This window comes from Homo sapiens, chromosome 19, assembly GCF_000001405.40.
Source record: "Homo sapiens chromosome 19, GRCh38.p14 Primary Assembly".
Lineage (NCBI taxonomy): Eukaryota > Metazoa > Chordata > Mammalia > Primates > Hominidae > Homo > Homo sapiens.
Genome location: NC_000019.10, coordinates 21858494 through 21882435, shown reverse-complemented (window position 1 = coordinate 21882435; position 23942 = coordinate 21858494). Strand labels below are relative to the sequence as shown.

At 45.2% G+C, this 23942-nt stretch overlaps 1 long non-coding RNA gene across 1 annotated transcript, besides 1 other annotated feature; it reads left to right on the top strand.

Annotated features, from left to right (window-relative positions):
• Positions 1-8018: 8018 nt before the first annotated feature.
• On the top strand, positions 8019-23766 carry LOC105372324 (uncharacterized). The gene is made up of 4 exons (XR_936431.2): positions 8019-8362; positions 18215-18304; positions 19299-19372; positions 23728-23766. It is a non-coding gene; the product is annotated as an uncharacterized LOC105372324 (long non-coding RNA).
• Positions 18899-19860: an enhancer, noted in NCBI's record as "H3K27ac hESC enhancer chr19:22045378-22046339 (GRCh37/hg19 assembly coordinates)". NCBI's record gives its function as "activates a minimal SCP1, AML or CMV promoter by ChIP-STARR-seq in primed H9 embryonic stem cells {active_cell/tissue: H9 hESC(primed)}" and the evidence as "EXISTENCE:reporter gene assay evidence [ECO:0000049][PMID:30033119]".
• Positions 23767-23942: the final 176 nt, after the last annotated feature.

Below are 23942 nucleotides of genomic sequence, written 5' to 3'. Positions count from 1 at the left end.
ATGGCAGTCTTACACAATGAGACAATGGTGTCTCCTTACCCATTTAAATGGATGGACACAGGCATTGCTCCTCCTAGGCCAAAAATGATTCATCCCTTTGTTACCCCACAACATCCTGAACTATGGAAATTAGCTGCAGTTTTGTCAGGAATAAGGATATGGAACACTACCTATCAACTCCTTCGTACTAAAACCAAAACATCCACATTTCAACATCACCCTTATTTCTGAATGGGTGATACCTATTAGGAGCTGTGTCAAACCCTCTTACATGCTGTTGGTTGGAAATATAATTATTATGCCTGATGCACAAACTACAGAATGTCATAACTGTAAGCTGTTCACTTGCATTGATGCAACTTTTAATCCCACTACCAGTATTCTCTTGATAAGGGCTAGGGAGGGGGTATGGATACCAGTTTCTTTATGTCATCCATGGGAGTCTTCCCCCTCTATTCACATAGTCAATGAAGTTCTTAAAGGCATTCTTAAAAGAACAAAGAGATTTATTTTTACTCTTATTGCAGTCCTTGCAGGACTAATTGCGGTTACTGCAACAGCAGCAACTGCTGGAGTTGCCATCCACAACTCTGTTCAAACTGCTCACTATGTTGAAGCATGGCAGAAAAACCCCTCCAGACTTTGGAATTCTCAGGTGCAAATTGATCAAAAATTAGCTAATCAGATTAATGATCTCTGCCAAAGTGTAACCTGGCTGGGAGATAGAGTTATGAATTTGGAACACCGTATGCAATTACAGTGTGATTGGAATACTTCTGATTATTGCATAACGCCTTATGCTTATAATCAAGATCAACATAGCTGGAAAAGGTCTCAAGACATTTAAAAGCCTGGGATGACAACATAACCTTGGATATTTCACAACTTAAAGAGCAAATCTTTGAGGCTTCACAAGCCCATTTATCCACTGTTCCTGGCTCAGACATTTTTCAAGGCATAGCTAAATAATTATCTGATTTTAATCCCTTCAAATGGCTCAAACCTGTCAGAGGATCATTGTTGTTACTGGCATTATTAATATTGGTATGCTTATGTTGTCTCCTTTTAGTCTGCAGATGCCTCCAAGGAGTCCGAAACCAAGTCTGAAGTCAACGACAAGCAATGATGGCGATGGCGATTCTAGTTAATAAAAAGGGGGGAGATGTGGGTGGCAAGCCACCCAGGCACCGAGGCAAGAGACAGAGGACATGGGCTGTTCCAGTATAATAAAATATAAAACAAGAATTGTTATACCAGATATAGATCTTAGATATGATTATATATGAGTATCATTAATCATTAGTTGGTAGCAATTACTTTTTATTCCAATATTATGATAATCCTCACTCAATAATCATAGCCTAGGAAAAACCAGGCTATACAGAGATAGGAGCTGAGGGGACATAGTGAGGTGTGACCAGAAGACAAGTGTGCGAGCCTTCTGTTATGCCTGGACAGGGCCACCAGAGGGCTCCTTGGTCTAGCGGTGATGCCAGCGTCTGGGAAGACGCCCGTTACCAAGCGGATCATGATCCAGCGGTAGCAAAAGATGTCAAGAAACAACACCCGCTACTTAGCAGACTGGGAAAGGGTGGGGGGGGGGGGCGGTCTCCCTTTCCCCAGGGGAGTTTAGAGAAGACTCTGCTCCTCCACCTCTTGTGGAGGGCCTGACATCAGTCAGGCTCACCCGCAGTTATCCGGAGGCCTAACCATCTCCCTGTGATGCTGTGCTTCAGTGGTCACACTCCTAGTCTGCCTTCATGTTCCATCCTGTACACCTGGCTCTGCCTTCCAGATAGCAGTAGTCAATTAGTGAAAGTACTAATAGTCCCTGATATGCAGAAATAATGGCGTAAGCTGTCTTTCTCTTTGTCTCCTCTCCCTCTCTGCCTCAGCTGCCAGGCAGGGAAGGGCCCCCTGTCCAGTGGACACATGACCCACGTGACCTTACCTATCATTGGAGGTGACTCACATTCTTTACCCTGCCCCTTCTGCCTTGTATCCAATAAATAACAGCGCAGCCCGACATTCGGGGCCACTACCGGTCTCCGCGCATCGGTGGTAGTGGTCCCCCGGGCCCAGCTGCCTTTTCTCTTGTTTCTTTGTCTGGTGTCTTTATTTCTACACTCTCTCATCGCCACACACAGGGAGAGACCCACTGACCCTGTGGGGCTGGTCCCTACAGTATTTGTGGCCTTAAGTCCAGGAATGAAAGTCAACATGTCTCTAATTGGCTGTGTCCAGATAGGAGAGTTCTTACCTGCCTATGATGTGGGTTTAGAAATGATTCACCATCCTAATTGTTGCCGGATGTTCACATATCACAGTCACAATTCCAACTGTGACTTGCATCCACATGAGCAATTAAGAATCTTACCAGTTGGTTCTTTCCATGTATGAGAGTGATAATCCTAACAGTTGGCAGAATGTGCATACAAGAAACACAATCTCATCTGTGCACTGCACCTTGTGATGGCACCCTCTGTACCACCTGAAGGCTTTATATGGCATGTTAGAGAGTGGTTAATGCTTTATGACATTCATACATTAAGAAAGCACAGAACCCAAATTGTTTCTCTAATCCTAGCTATGGGAGACAATATCTCTGATATTGGCTGGTTCAAAATATGAGAGTCATCATCCCGTTTGTAAGCTAGGCCAAGATATATGTCACAATATCACCTGTGGGTAGGGAGCAAGCAGGAGAGTCACATCACCTGGGTAATAAGCCAAGGCTATGTTACAATCTTCCGGAGGGCAAGGACCAGGTAGAAGGGTCAAATCATCTTGGTTCTTGGCCAGTGGCATGTTATAATTCTATCTTGGAACCAAGTCACAGGCAGCAGAGTCATGTCACCTGAATGCTGGGCCAAACAATATGTCACAATGCTCTCTATGGGCAAGGTCCAGGCAGTAAGAACACATCATCTGGTTGCTGGGCCCCGCAATATGTCACAGTCTTTTTTGTGAGCAGGGTGCAGGACAAAAAGAAGACTCAAATGTTTTAGGTGATGAATGCAGAGATATGTCACAAGGTGCACTGTAGGCACGGCCTATGCAGCAGCCTCTCATCCCCCAGATGTCAGGCCCAGTGCTAAGTCACAATGCCCAAAATATGACAGGCTCAGGCAAAAAAGGAAAGTGACAGTGTCAAGATACTGGGTCCAGTGACATGTCACAATCCTGTCTACTGACAGGGCCCAAACAGAAGATGAGAGTCACATTACTTGGGTAATCAATGAAAATATATGTCACAATACCTTGTGGGCAGGACACATGCAGGAGAGTCACACCAAGTAGGTCTTAGACTCAGCCATATGCTACACTACACAAAGTATGCAGGGCCCAGGCAGAAAAGGAGAGAGACATCACCTCGATGCTGTACCAAGAGATACATCACATTCCCTTTTTAAGCAGAGCCGAAGCAGTGGAGGAGAGCACATCACATGGGAGCTGGGATCAGCAATCTGCCACAATCACCCCTGTGGGCAGGGCCTGTGCAGGAGAGTCACATTACCTGCATGCTGGGCCCAGTGATACATCACAATTCCTCCTGTGGGAAGAGGCCAAGCAGTAGGGAAGAGTCACATCACCTAGTACTGGGTCAAGCAAATTGTCACATTACCCCTTGGTGGCGGGGGAGTTCAGATAGAAGGCTCACATCACCTAGGTAGAAAAACTAAACGTGTGTCACAATGCCCCGTGAGCATAGGGCTCAAATAGAAGTGGAAAGTTGCATAACTTAGAGGCTGGTTTCAGCTATGTGTCACCATCACTTTAGTGAGCAGGGCCCAGGCATATGAAAAGAGTCACACATTTAGGTGCTCAGTCAAGTGATATGTCACAATATTCACTGTGTACAGGGCACAGGCAGAAAAGGAGAGTAACATCAACTAGGAGATGGGTCCAGGAGTATGTCTCCTATGGGGAAACCAGGCAGAAGGATCACATTACCTGTGTGCTGGGCCCAGTGATGTTACTCTCCTTCTTGTGGGCGTGGTTGAGGCAAGAGAGAAGAGTCACATCACCTAGGTTCTGGGCCCAGAGGTTTATCATACTCTGCCCTATGGGCAAAGCCAAGGTCAGAGAAGAAAGTCACATCAAACAGTTAATTAGCCCAGAGATATGTCACAAAGCCCTCTGTGAGAAGGCTCGAAGCAGGATACTCACATCACCTTCGAGCTTGGCCCACCAGTATATCACAATGCCTTTTGAGGGCAGGTCCCAGGCAAAAGAGCAACATTATGTTGGTGTTGTTTCCAGCAATATGTCACAATCTTCCCTGCAGGCAGAACCTGGAAAAAAAAGAAAAGTCAAATCAGCTAGGTGCTGGGATCAGTCATAAGTCATAATCCCACTTTGTTTTTTGTTTTGTTTTGTTTTTTGTTTTTCTGAGACAGAGTTTCACTCTTGTTACCCAGGCTAGAGTGCAATGGCATGATCTCAGCTCACTGCAACCTTTGCCTCCCAGGCTCAAGTGATTCTCCTGCCTCAGCCTCCCAAGCAGCTGGGATTACAGGCATGTGCCACCACACCCAGCTAATTTTTGTATTTGCAGTAGAGACAGAGTTTCACCATTTTGGCCAGGCTGGTCTTGAGCTCCTGACCTCAGGTGATCTACCTGACTCAGCCTCACAAAGTGCTGGGATTACAGGCATGAGCCACTGTGCTCAGCCATAATCCCATTTTGGAAGGGTCACATCACTCACAGAGTTGTGTCACAATGCCCTCTGCAGGTAGGAGCAAGGCAAAAGAGTAATTTCCCCTGGGTTTTAGAGCAAGAAATATGTCACAATGGCCACTATGCTCAGGGACCAGGCATGGAAGTTACATAACCTGGGTGTAGAGCCCAGTGATATGTCACAATGCCCCCTGTGCACAGTGCCAAGGCAGGAGAAGAGTCATCACCTGAGTGCGAAGACAAGTAATGTGTTATTTGCCTTCTTTGGACAATGCCAATGCAGGAGAATAGAGTCACATTACCTAGTTGTTGGGTCTAGCAATGTCACAATCCCATCTGTGGACTGGGCTCTCACAGAAAAGTAAAATAACTCAAATGCTGGAGAGGCATATTTCATATCACCTTTGAGCTGGGCCCACCAATATTTCACAATGCCTTTTGAGGGCACAATCACACCTGCATGAAAGGCCAGGGATGAGATTAACAATCCTGCACATTTCTCAATTACAGGTATGAGAGGAAACACTTCCTGTATGTTGAGTCTAAGTACGTGATTCACAGTCTCAACAGTGGACCGGAGCCACGCGTGAAAGCCTCAATCCGTCCCGCAGCCTGTCTCCTTAGCGGAGTCACAACCTCACGAGAGTGCTGAGTCTTGGTCTGAGAGTCACCAACCCACCTGTGGACCGGATTCACATATGAGAGTCAATTTTCCAACTTTCAACTGCTTCTGGGTGTGAGATTCAGGACCTCAGCAATGGGCTGTGTTAGTGTTAATGGATGACAATCTTTACTGTCATCTGGGCATGTGTACAGCAGACACGATCTCACTTGTGTGCTGAGTCACGTTAGGATACTCTCTGTACCAGTTGAGGGCTTTTTATGGTATGTGTGAGAGTCACGATCTGCTCTGATACCTTCAGGCTGGTATGGGCCCATGATCTTACCTGTGGCCATAAGCCCACATCAACATCTCTCCAATTGGCTGGGTCCAGATGTGAGGGTGCTCAATGAACCTATAAGCTTAGTTTAGAAATGAGTCACCATCCCAATTCTATCTGGATATTTGCATGCGACTGTCACAATTCTAACCGTGGACTGCATCTTTTCATGAGACTTAGGACCTCACGAGTGGCCTCTGTCCGCTTGTGACGATGACCATCCTAACTGTTGTCAAAGTTTGCATATGAGAGACACAATCTCAACTTTGTGCTGGGGCCCCTTTATGACACTCTGTACCACCCAAGGGCTTTATGTGATAGGCAAGAGCATGATAATCCCCTGTGATTTTTGTAAAACGAAATAACCCAGACTCTTACTGTTTTGCTAAGCCAAGCTACAAAAGACAGTATCTCTCCTACCAGCTGGTTCAAAGTATGAGAGTAATCATCACACCTGTAAACTTGGCCAAACTATATGTCACAACACCACCTGTGCATAGAGAGTGAGAAGGGACATCAAATCCCCTGAGTGTTGGTCCAGTGACATGTCACAATTTTCACTGTGGGCAGGGTGCAGACAGGAAAAAAAAGCCACAACACCTGGGTGCTTGGCCAAAGATATGTCACAATCTTCTCCTGAAAGCAGGGCACAAGCAGCAGAGTCATATCACCTGGGTGTTGGGCACAGTGATATGTCCCAATTTACTCTGTGAGCAGGACACAGGCAAAAAGAATCACATTACCTGGGTGCTGGGCCCAGCGATAGGTCACAATGACCCCTGTGGAAAAGGCCATGCAGGAGAGACACATTACCTAGTTGCTAAGCCCAGCGATATGTCACAATCCTTCCTGTTGGCAGGGTGCAGGTAGAAAAGAAGAGTCACAACATCTAGGTGATGCATGCAGAGATATGTCACAAGTCTCCCTGTGGGCAAGGCCCAGGCAGGAGTGTACTATCCCATGGATGTTGAGCCCAGCAATATGTTAAAATACTCAAAGTATATGGGGCCCGGGCAAAAGAACGGTCACATCGCCTAGGTGCTGGTACAGGGATGTGTCACAATCCCCGTTTTTAGCATGTCCCAGGCAGAAGAGGAAGGTCACATCACCAAGGTGATGAATCAAAGATATCCCATAATACTCCTGGTGTCAGGGCCCATGCAGGAGGGTCACATCACCTAACTGTTGGACCCAGTGATATGTCACAATACACAATGTATCCAGGGATCAGGCAGGATAGGAGAGTAACATCACCTAGGTGCTGCTCTGAGCTATACATTAAAATCTATATTGTGGGCAGAACCCAAGCAGTGTAGAAAAGTCAGATCACCTAGGTGCTGTGTTTAGTAATAGGTCACAACAGCCCCTGAGGAAAGGGTTCAGAAAGAAGCATCAAATCACCTAGGAGAGGGGCTTAGAGATGTTACAATACCTTTGTGGGTAGAGCTCAGGAAGAAGAGAGTGGCATAATATAGAGGCTGCGTCTAGCTATCTATTCAATCACTCACATAGGCAGGGCCCGGGCATGAGAGGAAGTTCCATCGCCTAGGTTCTGGGAGAAGCAATACGTCACAATCCCCACTAAGGAGAGGGCTCAGGCAAAAGAGGAGAGTGACATTGCCTAGGGCATGGGCCCAGAGTTATATCACAATGAACATGTGGACAGGGCCAACGCAGAAGTGTTAAATGACCTGTGTGCTGGGCCCAGAGATATGTCACAGTTACTTTAATGGGCAAAGCCCACATCAGATAAAAGAGGCATCTCAAATATGTTGTAAGTTGATGAGCCCTGAGATATGTCACAATGTCCCCCCCGAACAGATTCAAGGCAGGAGATTCACATCACCTCGGTGCTGAGCCCAATGAAATGGCACAGTGTCTCCTGAGTGCAGGGCCAAGGCAAAAGAGCAACACCAACTTGGTATTGAGGCCAACCATATGCCACAATCCACTCTGGGAGCAGTTGTCAGGCAGGAGAAAAGAGTCACAACACCTGGGTTATGGCCCAATACATATGTTACAATCTTGCCCATGGGCAAAGCCCAGGTGAGACAGGAGAGTCACATCAAACAGTCGATGGGCTCAAAGATATGCTACAATACTCCCTAATGGGAGTGCCCAGATGGAGAGTCACATCGCCCAGGTTCTTTTCCCCAACTGCTTCTTCCTAGGTTGAGTCCTGTGACTTGATTAGAATTAAGTGTGCTGAAATCCTGCAAGCCTCAGCTTCTCAGTAGCACCTGAGCTTTTAGAAAGCTATTCCATTCACTAAGTAATGCCATTTATAGCCTTCCATTAGACGTGAACAGAAGAAAACTGTTTAACTGGCAGAGAGATAGGTTTAACTAGCCCAGAGATATATAAACATTCCCCCTGTAGGTTGGGCTCAGGAAAAAGAAGAGAGTCACATAACATAGGAGCTGGGCTCAGCTTTATGTCATAATAACCCCTGCAGGCAGGGCCCAAGCACAATAGGAGAGTCTTATTACTTAGGTGCTGAGCCAAGCCATATGTTGAAATCTTCACTGTGGACAGGGTCCAGGCATAAGAGGACAGTCGCATCTCTGATGGGACCATAGATATGTCACAATGACTTCTGCAGGCAGGGCCCAGGCCAAAGAATCAGCCAATTAGTTCAGCAAACTTGGATTCAATCAAACAGTTATCTAAATAGCGACTGCAGATTCATCAAGTCAGGCCCAAAACAGTGGACGTGACAGCACATTCCTACACTGAGAAGGTAGGCAGGTTCCTGAAATGCTAATCTGGTCATAAAGCATTAAATTGCTATGCTGTCAGCTTACTTCAAAGACCTCACCTTTGAAAGTGAAGCTTTGTTTGTGTTTATGTAGACAACATTGTACGGCAATGTACAATCCTGGGTTTGTATTGTGGCATACAGTAGGGTAATAAGTCCGTATCTGCATCCTGATTATATACTAAGGTATTGAAAATGCCTTTTTGTGAACATCCAGTGTACACCTAAATATTTACATAGATGTACTTATCTATCTAAATATTTACATAGATGTACATCTACCTGTGTATATCTATATCCAGATATATTCATTTTTGTATTTTTATTCATAAAAAGTAAAGATGCAGAAGGTGAAAGGGTTGATAGGTATTGATACTGATACTGATATATAAAAATAATTCCATAGATGTATAAAGCGTTCTGACCAATAAACTCTATCTAGAGTAGTACACAAATGGAGGCATGCTATAACGTCCATCCATCTGCATTTAACTTATACAAAATAAGCATTGGTCCTTGTTGCTGACTTCTGGGAGATAAAAATTCACTAAGGCCATGAGAGTCATTCATGCCAAATCAAGGATAACCCTTTTTATTCTAGTGAACACAGAACCAAAATTAAATTAGCCTCTGCTGAAAAGCCCTAACCCAAATGTGCGAATGCTGAAAATGTTTATTTAAAGCTTCCACCAATTGAGGTAATTCTTTTTTTTGAACATGGGACAAAAAAATAAATTATTGTATTGCATTTTGTTGGCTGGAGAAGCAACTTTATTTGGTAGGAAATGAATAGTTGAGGTCTGTGACTTGAAGATACATTGCTGTACTGACAGTGAATTTTAGTTTTCTCTAGACACTTTCTTCTGTTTTATATATATATATATAACATGCAGGGTTATATAAATATGTTTATTCAATGACCATTTATGAGTATGTCTTGGAAAAAAAATAAAAGTATGTCAGAGGTCATTACCCTACCCTTGCTTCTCAACACACGTGAATACAATCAGCCAACCAGCTCAGCCCAGAAATATACTTCCAGAAATAATTATCTTTAAACTTCAGGGGCTCTTTTGTATGAATATATGACATAGCATGATAATTTGGGGATTTTTTTGTTTTGTTGGCTAAAGAAGTAACTTTTTAAGGTAGAGAAAAAAAAATTGGAGTCTATGACTCAAAGTTAGCCTGCTACACTGAAAGGAAATTAAGTTTTCTTTGGATAGATTTTTTTGTAGATTTAGATACAGATATAAAATACATAGATGAATTAACACATAGAAATCACAGGGTTATGCAAATATGTCTATGTAATTTCCATTTGTGAGTGTGTCTTGCAAAGAAGCCTCAAAATAAAAGATGTCATTTTACTACTCATTTCCCTCAAGACAGGTTAATTGATGCAGCTGATTAGGTCAGCCCCGGTGATTTCAATCATTCAATTAGCTCAGCCCAGGTTCTCCAATTAGCCAATTAGCTCAGCCCAGGTGAATAAAATCAGCCAATTAGCTCAGGCCAGGTGATTCCAATCAGCCAGTTAGCTCAAAGAAGTTAGACCCATCAGTCAATTATCAAAATATCAACAGTGAATTTCTCAAGGCAGAGTTACAATGGTTGATGGGAGTAGTGCATGCATAGATTGAAAATAAAAGCAGGGCCATAAAATGCTAATCTGAACATAAACTATTAGTTCGTGTACTGTGATCTTCCCAAATCTTTCTCATGCAGGAGAAGCTTTGTTTACATTTAAACAAACAACATCGTATGTCTATGTTTCATTCTGGAATACTATTGTGTTAGAGTAGAGAAGTAATTCTACATCTTTATCTATAATATATACTAGGGTATTGAAAATGTCTTTTGGCCAACATAATGTGTATACATTAATATTTACACATATGTAGTCATATAATCCTATATGTGTGTGTATGTTTATCTATGTATGTCTATATTCAGATGCATCCATCTTTGTATCTATATTTATAAAACATAATGATGTATAGCCAGGTGCGGTGGTTCACACCTGTAATTTTAGCACTTCAGGAGGTTGAGGTGGGTGGATTGCTTGAGCTCGAGTTTTAAAGAGCCAGGTGTAGTGGTATGTGCTTGTAGTCCCAGCTACTTGGGAGGCTGAGGTGGGAGGATTGCTTGAGCTCAGGGGACAGAGGTTGCAGTGAACCTACATGGCACCACTGCTCTCCAGCCTTGGTGACAGAGTGAGACCCTGTCTCAATAAAAAAATAAGAATAATGATGTATAAAGTGGAAATATTGATTGATATTGGTAATGATAGTGACATAAAAAGATGCTTTTATATATGTATAGACTTAACTTCCCCATAAACTATTCAAAAAATAGTACAAAAATGGAACTATGCTCCCACATACATCTTTCTGCTTTTAACAAGAAAGGATCATTTCTTGTTGCTCACTTCTGAACAATAAAAATATGCTAAGGTTATGAAAGACATTCATTGCCAGGTCAAGGGTGACCATTTTCTTTCTGGTAAACATAGGACCAGAAATAAAATAGCCTCAGCTTAAAGGCCCTCACCCAAATGTGAAAGTGCTGAATAATTGTCTTTAAAGCTTTCATAAATTTAAAGAATCTTTTTCAAACGTGTGACACAGGAATCAATCCTTGTATTTTTGTTTTCTTTGCTGAAGTAGTGACTTTTTGGGTAAGAGAATAAAAGCCAAGGGCTGTAACTTGAGCATTTACTTCAATACTGGAAAAAAAATGTTAGTTTTATTGGACACATTTCTCTGTAGATTTTGATCTAAATATGACATATATAGATAGATAAACATATACAAACACACAGGGTTATGTAAATATGTCTATATAATGTTGATCTGTGAGCACTTTTTTGTAAAACAGCCCCAAAATAAAATTAAATCAGAAGTCATTTTTCTACACATTCTATTTGGAAACAGTGAATCCATTCAGTCAATGAGCTCAGCTCTGGTGAATCCAGTCAGCCAATTAGCTCAGTCCAGGTGACTTTAATAAGCTAGTTAGCTCGACTCAGGTGGATCCAATTATGCAATTGTCTAAATAGGGACTGCAGATTCATCAAGTCAGGCCTAACATAGTGAATGTAAATAGCATGTTGATACAGTGAGAAACAAAGCAATAGCCTGAAATGCTAGCCTGGAAATATAGCATTACATAGCTGTACTGTCAGCTTACTTTCTAGACTTATTCCCTGAACCTGAAGCTTTGTTTACACTTATACAAACAACATTGCTTGGCTCTGTTTCATTATGAGATGTTATTGTGCCACAGAGTACCGAAGTTACTATACATTTGTGTTCTTAATATATACTAGAGCATTTAAAATGTCTTTTCAGAACATGCTTTGTATACATAAATGTTCACATAAACATACATAATTCTGTATGGGTTTTTGTTTACCTTTCTACCTATGTATATCTATATGCAAACATATTTAGCTTTGTATGTATATTCATACAGAAAAAAATGTGGAAAGTGGAAATATTGATAGGTATTGATTCTAATAATGGTATAAAAAAGACTTTTATACATGTATAATCTTAACTGCCTTATAAACTATATCCAGAATCACACATACGGGAGGTTGTTCTTAAATACAACCTGCTGCATTTAACATACATGAAGAAAGCATTGTTTCTAGTTTCTTTCTTCTAGGAAATAAAAATGCACTAAGGCCAAGGGAGTCATTCATTGTCATGCAAAGCTGGACCCTGGCCATATTTCAACCAAGTGATAGCGAACATGTGCTGAAGTGTTAGTGGTGGCTCTTATTCTCCAGGCTAAATCTTTGTGAGAAAGGCTAGAGTCCCTGGTGTCAGGCACTTCTGGCTTGTCCTAGCTGTGTGGTTAGGATTCCACTGAGCAAGTTTGATTAGACCCTGAATTAAAAACACTCGGGTGCCAGATAACAAGAACATTTACACATTTATAAGAATAATGTGATGTGATATGTAGCTTGGATTTGGTAAATCACGACTGAGCAATCAGCCTATTAGGCTGACTTGATTCACCTGGTCTGGAAAGAATGCAAATAAAAATGACCTCTGACCTAGCTTCATTTAGTTCTGTACATGTATTTATAGATATAAGATATGTGGATAGCGAAACATATACACCCAGAATGGTTCACATAGGTGTATCTAGGTAAAGTCCATTTGTGCTTATGCCAGGTAAAAAAGCCTCAGAAGGAAAGTAGATCAAAGTTCATTTTCCTTGCCTGCTCATCCAGACCAGGTGAATTCAATAAGCCAATTAGCTAAGCTCAGGTGATTTTAATCAGCCAAATTAGCTCAGCCCAGGTAAATATAATCAGCCAATTAGCTAGTTTGGGAAAGAAGAAGCATCAAGGAAGGCCCCCAGTGATGGATATAAATAACAGGCATGCAGTGAAAAGAAAAAAGCAGGGCCTTCAGATTCCAAGTTTTCCATAAAACCTTACATAACAGTACTGGAACTTACTTCTCAGGCTGTGTCCCTCAATGTTATTGTATAGCTAGCTGGGTTCCAGCCTGAGATGCTATACAACCATATATTTGAATGTAAGTCTATGCCTCAACATCAGTTTTGGCTGGAGGAGGATGTCTCTTGAACATATTTTGTATACATAAATATTTACATAGACAAACCCATATAATTTTATGCTTGCCTGTATCTACTTACAAACATCTATATCCAGATCTAATTATCATGCTCTTTATATTCAGAGTAGAGACATAAGAGGTAAATGTATTGATAGATATTTGTACTGTTAGTAACATAAAAAGAAACTTCCATATATGCAAAATTTTATTTGCCATTTAAACTATATCCTCAAGAGTACACTAATAGAAGCATGTTCTGACATACATAGTTATCATGTATTGCATATCAAGAAAAATTATTTTTTATGGCTCAAACCTGTGAGCAGAAAATAAACTAAAGCCATGATATCATTCATTGCTAAGTCAAGGAATACCTTTTTTATTCTGGTGAACTTGAGACCAGAAATAAAACAGGCTTAGCTTAAAGATCCTGACTTGTTGTAGGAGCACCATCCCACATACCTCTCCTTAGAAGCCTTTCCACCACTGTGATTCTGGCCTGAGGGGGGCATAGAAAGTGTGGGGTTGGGAAACAAAGCTAACTTGAACTGGCATTGATCACAGTGTATCTTCCAGGCTTCCCCCTGGCAGCAGCAGGCCTCCCATAGACTCCAGTGTTCCCAAATCGCTCCATCAGACAGATTCTGCCAGCCTCCCTTTTGCCTAGGAGGGGAGACAGATGACTGGTGCTTCCTGCTCTGCTACCTCCCCAGATTTCTCTCTGAATGTGTTGTCGCACACACTTCCTTTCCTCTCATTGGAAGTAATCTTCTAACAACTCATGGTCCTGCAGCTTTCTCAGGCTCATTTCCCTCCCGATAAGAAAAAGAAGAGAAAAAAATATGGACAAATTGCTCTCTGTAGGCAGCAAATGCAAATCAAGGCCCTCCCCTTCAAGAAAGAAGTAGAATGAGGAAAAAGGCTTATTGAGCCTCTTGTGATTGATTAAGAATCATACATCTAGATTTATCTGTATTCTAGAACTAGAAAAAATCTTTAGTGCACAAAATTAAATACTGTAATGCTTTCTACAATATTCAAAACCAACAGAGATTAGGAGCACTTCACTCAGTGGCGCTTGTGCCCCTAAAAACAACCAACCAACCAAAAAAAAAAACAGGTTCCTGAGATTGATCTGTTTCAACATTTTTGTTCTCAATCCCGGTACTATCACTACGCATCTGGACTGAAACACAAACTGAAAAAAATCAACACATAAATGATATGACTGGAGGCCAGGTGCAGTGGCTCACGCCTGTAATCCCAACACTTTGGGAAGCCAAGGCAGGTGGATCACGACGTCAGGAGATCGAGACCATCCTGGCCAACATGGTGATACCCCATCTCTACTAAAAATACAAAAATTAGCTGGGTGTGGTGGCATGTGCCTGTAATACCAGCTACTTGGGAGGCTGAGGCAGGAGAATCACTTGAACCCAGGGGGCAGAGGTTGCAGTGAGCCAAGATGACACCACTGAATTCCAGCCTGGTGACAGAACAAGACTCTGTCTCAAGGAAAAAAAAAAAAATGACCAGGATGGAGATGGTGGCTCATGCCTGTAATCCCACTACATTGGGAGGCCGAGATGAGTGGATCATTTGAGGTCAGGAGTTCCAGACCAGCTTGGCCAACATGGAGAAACCTCGTCTGTACTAAAAATGCAAAAATCATCTGGGGGGCGGGGGGTGCACCTGTAGTCCCAGCTACTTGGGAGGCTGAGGTGGGAGAATTGCTTAGAACAGGGAGGCAGAGGTTGCAGTGAGCTGAGATCCCACCACTGCACTCCAGCTTGGGTGATACAGTGAGACAAAATAACAATAATGTTAAAAAAGAAATATATATGAGCAGACCCTGGGCAACATAGTGAGACCACATCTCTGCTAAAAAGATGGTTAGATACATAGGTAGATAGATAGATAGATAGATGATAGATAGATAGATAGATAGATAGATAGATAGATAGATAGAACGAACAAGCCAGGCATGGTGGCTCACACCTGTAATTGCAGCACTTTGGGAGGCCAAGGTGGGCAGACTGCTTGAGCACAGAAAACATGGTGGAACCTGTCATGTGCGTCCATGTCAAGACAGTCCACCAACAGACTTTGTGTGAGCAACAAGGCTTTTTATTTCACTTGGGTGCAAGTGGGCTGAGTCCGAAAAGAGAGTCAGCAAAGGGAGATAGGGGTGGGGCAGTTTTATAGAATTTGGGTAGGTAGTGGAAAACTACAGTCAAAGGGGGTTTTTCTCTTGTGGGCAGGGGCGGGGGTTACAAGGTGCTTGGTGGGGGAGCTTCTGAGACTCATTGTCCAGGAGAAGGAAGGTCACAAGGTTAATTGATCAGTCAGAGTGGGGCAGGAACAAATCACAGTGGTGGAATGTCATCAATTAAGGCAGGAACTGGACATTTTCACTTCTTTTGTGGTTCTTCTGGAACAGGAATTAAAAGAAATTAAAGAATGTGTAAGCAGAAACTCAGTTGTACGTAAGAAAACCCAACTCCCCCTGAGAAAGAGAAAGAGCTGGAGTCCTTTAAAAACTAGCTCTCCCTCCCCCTCCCCCTCCCCCTCCCCCTCCCCCTCCCCCTCCCCCTCCCCCTCTCCCTCTCCCTCCGGTCTCCCTCTCATGCGGGGCCGAAGCTGGACTGTACTGCTGCCATCTCGGCTCACTGCAACCTCCCTGCCTGATTCTCCTGCCTCAGTCTGCCGAATGCCTGCGATTGCAGGCACGCGCCGCCACGCCTGACTGGTTTTGGTGGAGACGGGGTTTCGCTGTGTTGGCCGGGCCGGTCTCCAGCCCCTAACCGCGAGTGATCCGCCAACCTCGGCCTCCCGAGGTGCCGGGATTGCAGACGGAGTCTCGTTCACTCAGTGCTCAATGGTGCCCAGGCTGGAGTGCAGTGGCGTGATCTCGGCTCACTACAACCTACACCTCCCAGCCGCCTGCCTTGGCCTCCCAAAGTGCCGAGATTGCAGCCTCTGCCCGGCCACCACCCCGTCTGGGAAGTGAGGAGTGTCTCTGCCTGGCCGCCCATCGTCTGGGATGTGAGGAGCCCCTCTGCCTGGCTGCCCAGTCTGGAAAGTGAGGAGCGTCTCCGCCCGGCCGCCATCCCATCTAGGAAGTGAGGAGCGCCTCTTCCCAGCCGCCATCACATCTAGGAAGTGAGGAGCGTCTCTGCCCGGCCGCCCATCGTCTGAGATGTGGGGAGCGCCTCTGCCCTGCCGCCCCATCTGGGATGTGAGGAGCGCCTCTGCCCGGCCGAGACCCCATCTGGGAGGTGAGGAGCGTCTCTGCCTGGCCGCCCCGTCTGAGAAGTGAGGAGCCCCTCCGCCCGGCAGCTGCCCCGTCTGAGAGGTGAGGAGCCTCTCCGCCCGGCAGCCACCCCATCTGGGAAGTGAGGAGCGTCTCCGCCCGGCAGCCACCCCGTCCGGGAGGGAGGTGGGGGGGGGTCAGCCCCCCGCCCGGCCAGCCGCCCCGTCCGGGAGGTGAGGGGCGCCTCTGCCCGGCCGCCCCTACTGGGAAGTGAGGAGCCCCTCAGCCCGGCCAGCCACCCCGTCCGGGAGGGAGGTGGGGGGGTCAGCCCCCCGCCTGGCCAGCCGCCCCGTCCGGGAGGGAGGTGGGGGGGTCAGCCCCCCGCCTGGCCAGCCGCCCCGTCTGGGAGGGAGGTGAGGGGGTCAGCCCTCCGCCCGGCCAGCCGCCCCGTCGGGGAGGTGAGGGGCGCCTCTGCCCGGCCGCCCCTACTGGGAAGTGAGGAGCCCCTCTGCCCGGCCAGCCGCCCCATCCGGGAGGGAGGTGGGAGGGTCAGCCCTCCACCCGGCCAGCCGCCCCGTCTGGGAGGTGAGGGGCGCCTCTGCCCGGCCGCCCCTTCTGGGAAGTGAGGAGCCCCTCTGCCCGGCCAGCCGCCCCGTCCGGGAGGGAGGTGGGGGGGTCGGCCCCCCGCCCGGCCAGCCGCCCCATCCGGGAGGGAGGTGGGGGTGTCAGCCCCCCGCCCGGCCAGCCTCCCCGTCCGGGAGGGAGGTGGGGGGGTCAGCCCCCCGCCCGGCCAGCCGCCCCCTCCGGGAGGGAGGTGGGGGGGGATCAGCCCCCCTGCCCGGCCAGCCGCCCCGTCCGGGAGGTGAGGGGCGCCTCTGCCCGGCCGCCCCTACTGGGAAGTGAGGAGCCCCTCTGCCCGGCCACCACCCCGTCTGGGAGGTGTACCCAACAGCTCATTGAGAACGGGCCAGGATGACAATGGCGGCTTTGTGGAATAGAAAGGCGGGAAAGGTGGGGAAAAGATTGAGAAATCGGATGGTTGCCGTGTCTGTGTGGAAAGAAGTAGACATGGGAGACTTTTCATTTTGTTCTACACTAAGAAAAATTCCTCTGCCTTGGGATCCTGTTGATCTGTGACCTTACCCCCAACCCTGTGCTCTCTGAAACATGTGCTGTGTCCACTCAGGGTTAAATGGATTAAGGGCGGTGCAAGATGTGCTTTGTTAAACAGATGCTTGAAGGCAGCATGCTCGTTAAGAGTCATCACCAATCCCTAATCTCAAGTAATCAGGGACACAAACACTGCGGAAGGCCGCAGGGTCCTCTGCCTAGGAAAACCAGAGACCTTTGTTCACTTGTTTATCTGCTGACCTTCCCTCCACTATTGTCCCATGACCCTGCCAAATACCCCTCTGTGAGAAACACCCAAGAATTATCAATAAAAAAATAAATTTAAAAAAAAAATAATAATTCTGTGTACTTGAGTGACTTATGTATGAAATGTAGGAAAACCGTTTTAAAATCAGAATGTATGATGGACATAGAGAGTAGAAAAATGGTTATCAGAGGCAGGGAAGGGTAGTGGGGGTGGGAGGGAGGTGGGAATGGTTAATGGGTACAGAAAAAAATAGCTAGAAAGAATGTATAAAACATACTATTTTATAGCACAACAGGGTGACTATAGTCAATAATAACTTAATTGTACATTTTTAAAATAACTAAAAGTGTGTAACTGGATTGTTTATAACACAAAGGATAAATGCTTGAGGGGGTGGATACCCCATTCTCCATAATGTGATTATTACTCATTGCATGCCTGTATCAAAACATCTCATGGACCCCATAAATATATATACTACTATGTACCCACAACAATAAATAAATAAATAAATAAATAAGATCAGAACATAAAAAAAAAAAAAAAAAAAAACTAACTGCCTGTTTTTCCATCGCTAGTGAGCTTTATCTTTCCTCACTTCCCAGGCATTGTGAAGACCCTGATTCCATAGCTGTGAAGCTGCAAGGTCACTAGACAGATAAACTCAAGTCGCAAAACATGGTTTTCCTTGAAAAGTAAGAAATGATGTAATGCATGTCTCAACAAAATAACTGTCTTTGTTTCTCACTTCTGTAGTATGATTCCTCCTGCACAGATCTCCCCCCACCCACAAAATGCCTAAAAGCTAACTTAACTCTTTGTTGAGGGCTCAGTCCTTTGGATGTTAATCCGTCTGGGCTGATGAACCAAAGTAATTAATAAATATCCTCCTGAACCTCATCAGTCTCTCTGATTCCCTAAAATCTGGCTATACTTCAGTTGCCTCAGGCCATCTAGATGTATACAAGCAAGCTTGGGCTCAGAGGTCTGACGTTCCTGTCTTCTTATATTAATAAGAAAAAACAAAACAAAATAGTGGTGAAGTGTTGGGGTGGCAAAAATGTTTGGAGGTCGTATGGAGAGATGATGGGCAATGTTTCTCAGGGCTGCTTCAAGCAGGATTAGGGGCAGTGTGGAAACCTAGAGTGGGAGAGATTAAACTGAAGAAAGATTTTGTGGTAAGGGGTGATATTGTGGGGTTGTCAGAAGGAGCATTTATCATATAGAATGATTGGTAATGGCCTGGATGTGGTTTTGTATGAATTGAGAAACTAAATGGAAGACACAAGGTCAGAATAAGAGAAGGAGAAAAACAGGTATTAAGTGACTAAGAATTAGGAGGAGCCAGGACATCCAATTAGAGAGTGCCCAAGGGGGTTCAGCATAATTATTTGCCTCGTTGGCAAGTTTTGGGCTCTATCCTTGAGTTTTTGTATGTTGTCATATACCAGGCCAGATTGATTTAGGTAAAAACAACATTCTTCATTTGGAAATATGCAGAGTCCTCCTTTTTCAGCAGTAAGTAAGCCGAGGCCTACTCCTGTCTTCTCATATTAATCAGAAAAATAAAAGAAAATTGTGGTGAAGTGTTGATGTCATGAGAGGAACAGAAAGTTGTTCGGTCCTGTTTGCAAATTGATTTTTTTGGGATAAGGAAAACTAACGTACATGTGCCTGTCCAATTAATAGGTAGACACATGTAGGCGGAGGAGCCACAGAGGAAGAAGAGACCGTTGTGAGGCAAAATTGGAGCACCAAAAGAGGTATCTTGCACCCAGACTTTTAGGGATCTAGTGAGGGCAGCAGCCATTAAAGGTTGTAATGGGGACTGATAAGGCAACTGGGTAGTGGGGGAGGTTCAATTTTTATGGTGTATGAGAAAGTGCATACTGTTTACAAGAAACCTTTCATTGCTATTCATAGGGTTGGGTATAAGCAAACAAGAAAGGGGGCTGGGAGGAGAGTCGGAAGAAAAAGGGGAAGGTAGTCAATGATGGAGTGAAATGCAGGGCAAATGTCTTAAAGGAAATGAGGGGTTCTAAGAGGTGGGCTAGTGGCTTGTAACCCACATAGAAAAGGTTTTGAAAGGACAATAGAATGAAATGAGCCTGTCATGATGGAAAGAAGAATTTTCCTTGGTCCAAGAATCATTTGCCTTGTGTGGGAAGAGATTGATAGGTGGAAATTTCCATGGGAGAGTAGGTGGGAGTGACCGATGAGAAAGAGAAAAACTGGCCATGAGGGACAGAAGTTGGAATGCTAGTTGCTTCTTTAGCTACCTTATCAGCATAAGCATTGCCCTGAGCAATGGCATCTGATATCTTTTGATGGCCCTTGCAGTGAATGACTCCAGCTTCTTTGGAAGTAGAGCAGCTTTAAGAAAAGTTTTTATTAAGGAGGCATTAATGATTGAAGACCTTTGTGTAGTGAGGAAACCTCTTTCTGGCCATGTAATAGCATGGAGGTGAAGGATGTGGAAGGCATACTTGGAATCAGTATCAATATTGACATGTAGTCCCTTTGTAAGAATGAGGGCTCAAGTTAAGGCAATGAGTTTAGCTTGTTGAGAGGTAGTGGAAGGGGACAGGGAAATAGCCTCAATGATAGATGGAAGACACTATAGCATAGCCTGCCTTTGCTGGTGATTGGCGATTGGGTCTGGAAGAACTACTGTCAATAAACCAAGCGCAGTCTGGGTGGGGAACAGGAAAGAGGGAAATATGGGGAAATGGGGAGAATGCCATGTGGATTAGAGAGACATAGTCATGGGGTTCAGGTGTAGTATCAGGAATAAGATGAGAGGCCAGACTGAAGTCTGGGCCAGGAACAATGGTAATTGTGGGAGACTTAACAAATAGTGAGTACAGTTAAAGGAGCCAGAGGGCAGAAAATATATGCATCAAGTGCAAGGAGGAAAATAGATTTTGACAGTTATGGGAACTGTAGAGAGTAAGTGGAGCATAGCTTGTGATTTTGAGGTCCTCTAAAGGTACTAAAGCGGCAGCAGCTGCTGCACAGAGACATGAGGGCTAGCCTAAAACAGTAAGGTCAAGTTGTTTGGACAGAAAGGCTGCAGGGTGCAGTCCTGGCTCTCATGTAAGAATTTCGACTGCACAGCCCTGTACTTTGGCTGTGTTAATGAAAAGGGTTGGGATGAGTTAGGGAGAGCTAGTGTGGGAGCAGATTCTAGGGCTGTTTTTAAGGAATGGAAAGAGGAGTGGGGAAAGGATCCAGGATCTATGAGGTCAGCTAGGTTTCCATTTGTGAGTTTACATGGTTTAGTCAGGATGGCAAAAGCAGCTATCCAAAAGCAAAAGTATCTAACCATGCCTAGGAAGGAAAGGAGTTGTTTCTTTGTGGAAGGGGTTGGGGTTTGGGAAATTAACCAGACACAATCAGCAAGAAGAGCATGTGTGTTTTTATGAGGAATTATGCCAAGATAGGTAACAGAAGATAAAGAAATTTGGGCTTTGGAGGAGGATATCCTTTTGAGAATAGATGTTGGAGGAGCAGGAGGGTCTCCTGTTGGGAAGAATCATAGGAGGGGATGTAAAGTAGAAGGTCGGCAAAATATTGAATAAGGTGAGAAGCAGATGGATAGAAAGAAAGTAATCATGAGAAAGGGCTTGACTGAAGTAATGAGGGCTGTCCCTGAAGCCTTGTGGCAGTACAGCCTAGGTAAGCTGCTGAGGCTGATGGGTGTCAGGGTCAGTCCAAGTGAAAGCAAAGAGAGGCTAGGATGGAGGGTGTAAAGGAATAGTAAAGAAAGCATGTTTGAGATACAGAACAGAATAATGGGTTGTGGAGAGAGGTATTGAGGATAGGAGAGTATATGGGTTTGGCATCACAGGATGGGTAGGCAAGACAATTTGGTTGATAAGGCAACGATCCTGGACCAGCCTGTAAGACTCGTCCAGTTTTTGGACAGGTAGAATAGGAGAGTTGTAAGGAGAGTTTGTAGGCTTTAAGAGGCCATGTTGTAACAGGTTGGTGATAACAGGCTTTAACACTTTTAAAGCCTGCTGTGGGATGGGATATTGGTGTTGAGTCGGGTAAGGGTGATTAGATTTTAATGGGATGGTAAGGCGTGCATGGTCAGTCACCAAGGTAGGAGTAGAGGTATCCCATACTTGTGGATTAAGGTAGGGAGACACAAGGGGAGGATGTGAAGGAGGTTTTGAACTGGGGAAAAGGGTGACAATGAGGTGTGGCTGTAGCCCGGGAATAGTCAGGGAAGCAGATAATTTAGTTAAAATGTCTTGACCTAATAAGGGAGCTGGGCAGATAGGGATAACTAAAAGGGAGTGCATAAAAGAATGTTGTCCAAGTTGGCACCAGAGTTGGGGAGTTTTAAGAGGTTTAGAAGCCTGGCCATCAATACCCACAACAGTTATGGATGCAAGGGAAACAGGCCCTTGAAAAGAAGGTAATGTGGAGTGGGTAGTTTCTGTATTGATTAAGAAAGGGATGGACTTACCCTCCACTGTAGGAGTTACCCAAAGTGTCTGTGATGGTCTAGGAGGCTTCCAAGGCAGTTGGGCGGCATCAGTCTTCAGCTGCTAAGCTGAGAAGATCTGGGAAGGAGTCAGTCAGAGAGTCTTGGGCCAGAGTTCCAGAGGCTCTGGGAGTGGCTGCTGGGTGAGTTGGACAGTCCAATTTATAGTGGGGTCCCACACAGATGAGACAGGGCTTAGGAGGAATCCTGGACTGCAGGCATTCCTTAGCCCAGTGGCCAGATTTCTGGCACTTGAAGCAAGATGCTGGGGAAGGAGATCCTGGGGAAGGAGGTCCTGGAGGAATGCCTGGCTGCTGCGGTTTAGGTGTTTCGAAGGTCTTGTGTGCTGGAGATGTGGCTGTGGTTTTTCTCTCACAGCAGAGGCAAGTAATTGCAACTCAGAAATATGTTGCCATTTGGCTGCCTCTTCTTTATTATTGTACACCTCAAAGGTGAGGTTAATTAAGTCCTATTGTGGGGTTTGAGGGCTGGAATCTAATTTTTGGAGCTTTTTCTAATATTGGGAGTGGATTGGATAATAAAATGTACATTGAGAATAAGATGGCCTTCTGACCCCTCTGGGTCTAGGGGGGTAAAGTGTCTAAGGGTTATTGCCAAATGGGCCATGAACTGGGTTGGGTTTTTACATTTGATGAAAAAGAGCCTAAACACTAACTGATTTGGGAGAGGTCAGATAAAGAAAAAGGGGCATTAATCTTGACTATGCCTTTAGCTCCAGCCACCTCTTTAAGAGGAAATTGTTGAGCAGCTGGGGGAGGGCTAGTCATGGAATGAAACTGTAAGTCAGACTGGGTGTGAGGAGGGGAGGTGACAGAAGGATTATAGGGTTGGGGAGTGGAAGCTGAGGAAGAATTGGGACCTGGCTCAGCCTGGTGAGGAGCGGCCTGGGGTGGAGGGGAGATGTCAGATGGGTCCATAGAAAAGGAAGATTCCAAGGACTCAGAGCTCGGGGTGGAGATCGAAGGAACAGACAGGAGAGAAAGAAGAAAGATTTCGGATGAGTCGCATTGGGAGCAGAGACTAGGGAGGGACTGATGTGTAAAAGAATGCCTGGAAGTCAGGCACTTCAGACCATTTGCACATTTTATGACAAAAATTGTCTAGGTCTTGCAGGATAGGCAAATTGAAAGTGCCATTCTCTGCCCACTTGGAACTATTATCGAGTTTCTGTTGGGGCCAAGCAGTATTACAAAAGAAAATAAGATGTTTAGGTTTTAGGTCAGGTGTTAGTCGAAGGAGTTTTAGGTTTTTAAGAACACAGGCTAAGGGAGAAGAAGGGGGAATGGAGAATGGAATGTTGCCCATAGTGAAAGAGGCAAGCCCAGAGAAAAGAGAGGGTAGAGACATGGAGAGAGGGGGCGTGGTACTCGCCATCTAGGGGAGGTGGTACTTGCCACCAAGGGGAGGTGGTACCTGCCACCAAGGTGAAGGATCAAGGCAGGCATCCCTGCAGTGATCAGACGTCCCTGAAATGTGGGTGAATAATCAGGCAGGTGTCCCTGCAGTGACTTAGACACCAAGGGAAGACTGTCTTCCTCAGTCTGTGACCAATGCCAGGGTTTTGAGTTCACGAATAAAATGCCTCTCCTCTGTTTCTACCAGGAAGGGAAAGGAGGGATAGTGAGAAAGGCTGGAGAAGAGAAAAAAAAGAGGCCGCTTACCAGACTTAAAATTGGTGAGATGTTCCTTGGGCTGGTCTGAGGACCAAAGGTCATGGGTGGATCTCCTCATGGAGTGAGGGTGAGTACAGGGGACCAGTCTCCCAAAGGATTCCCCCTGTCCCAGGTCTTCAGCACCAAATGACACACACATCTGTG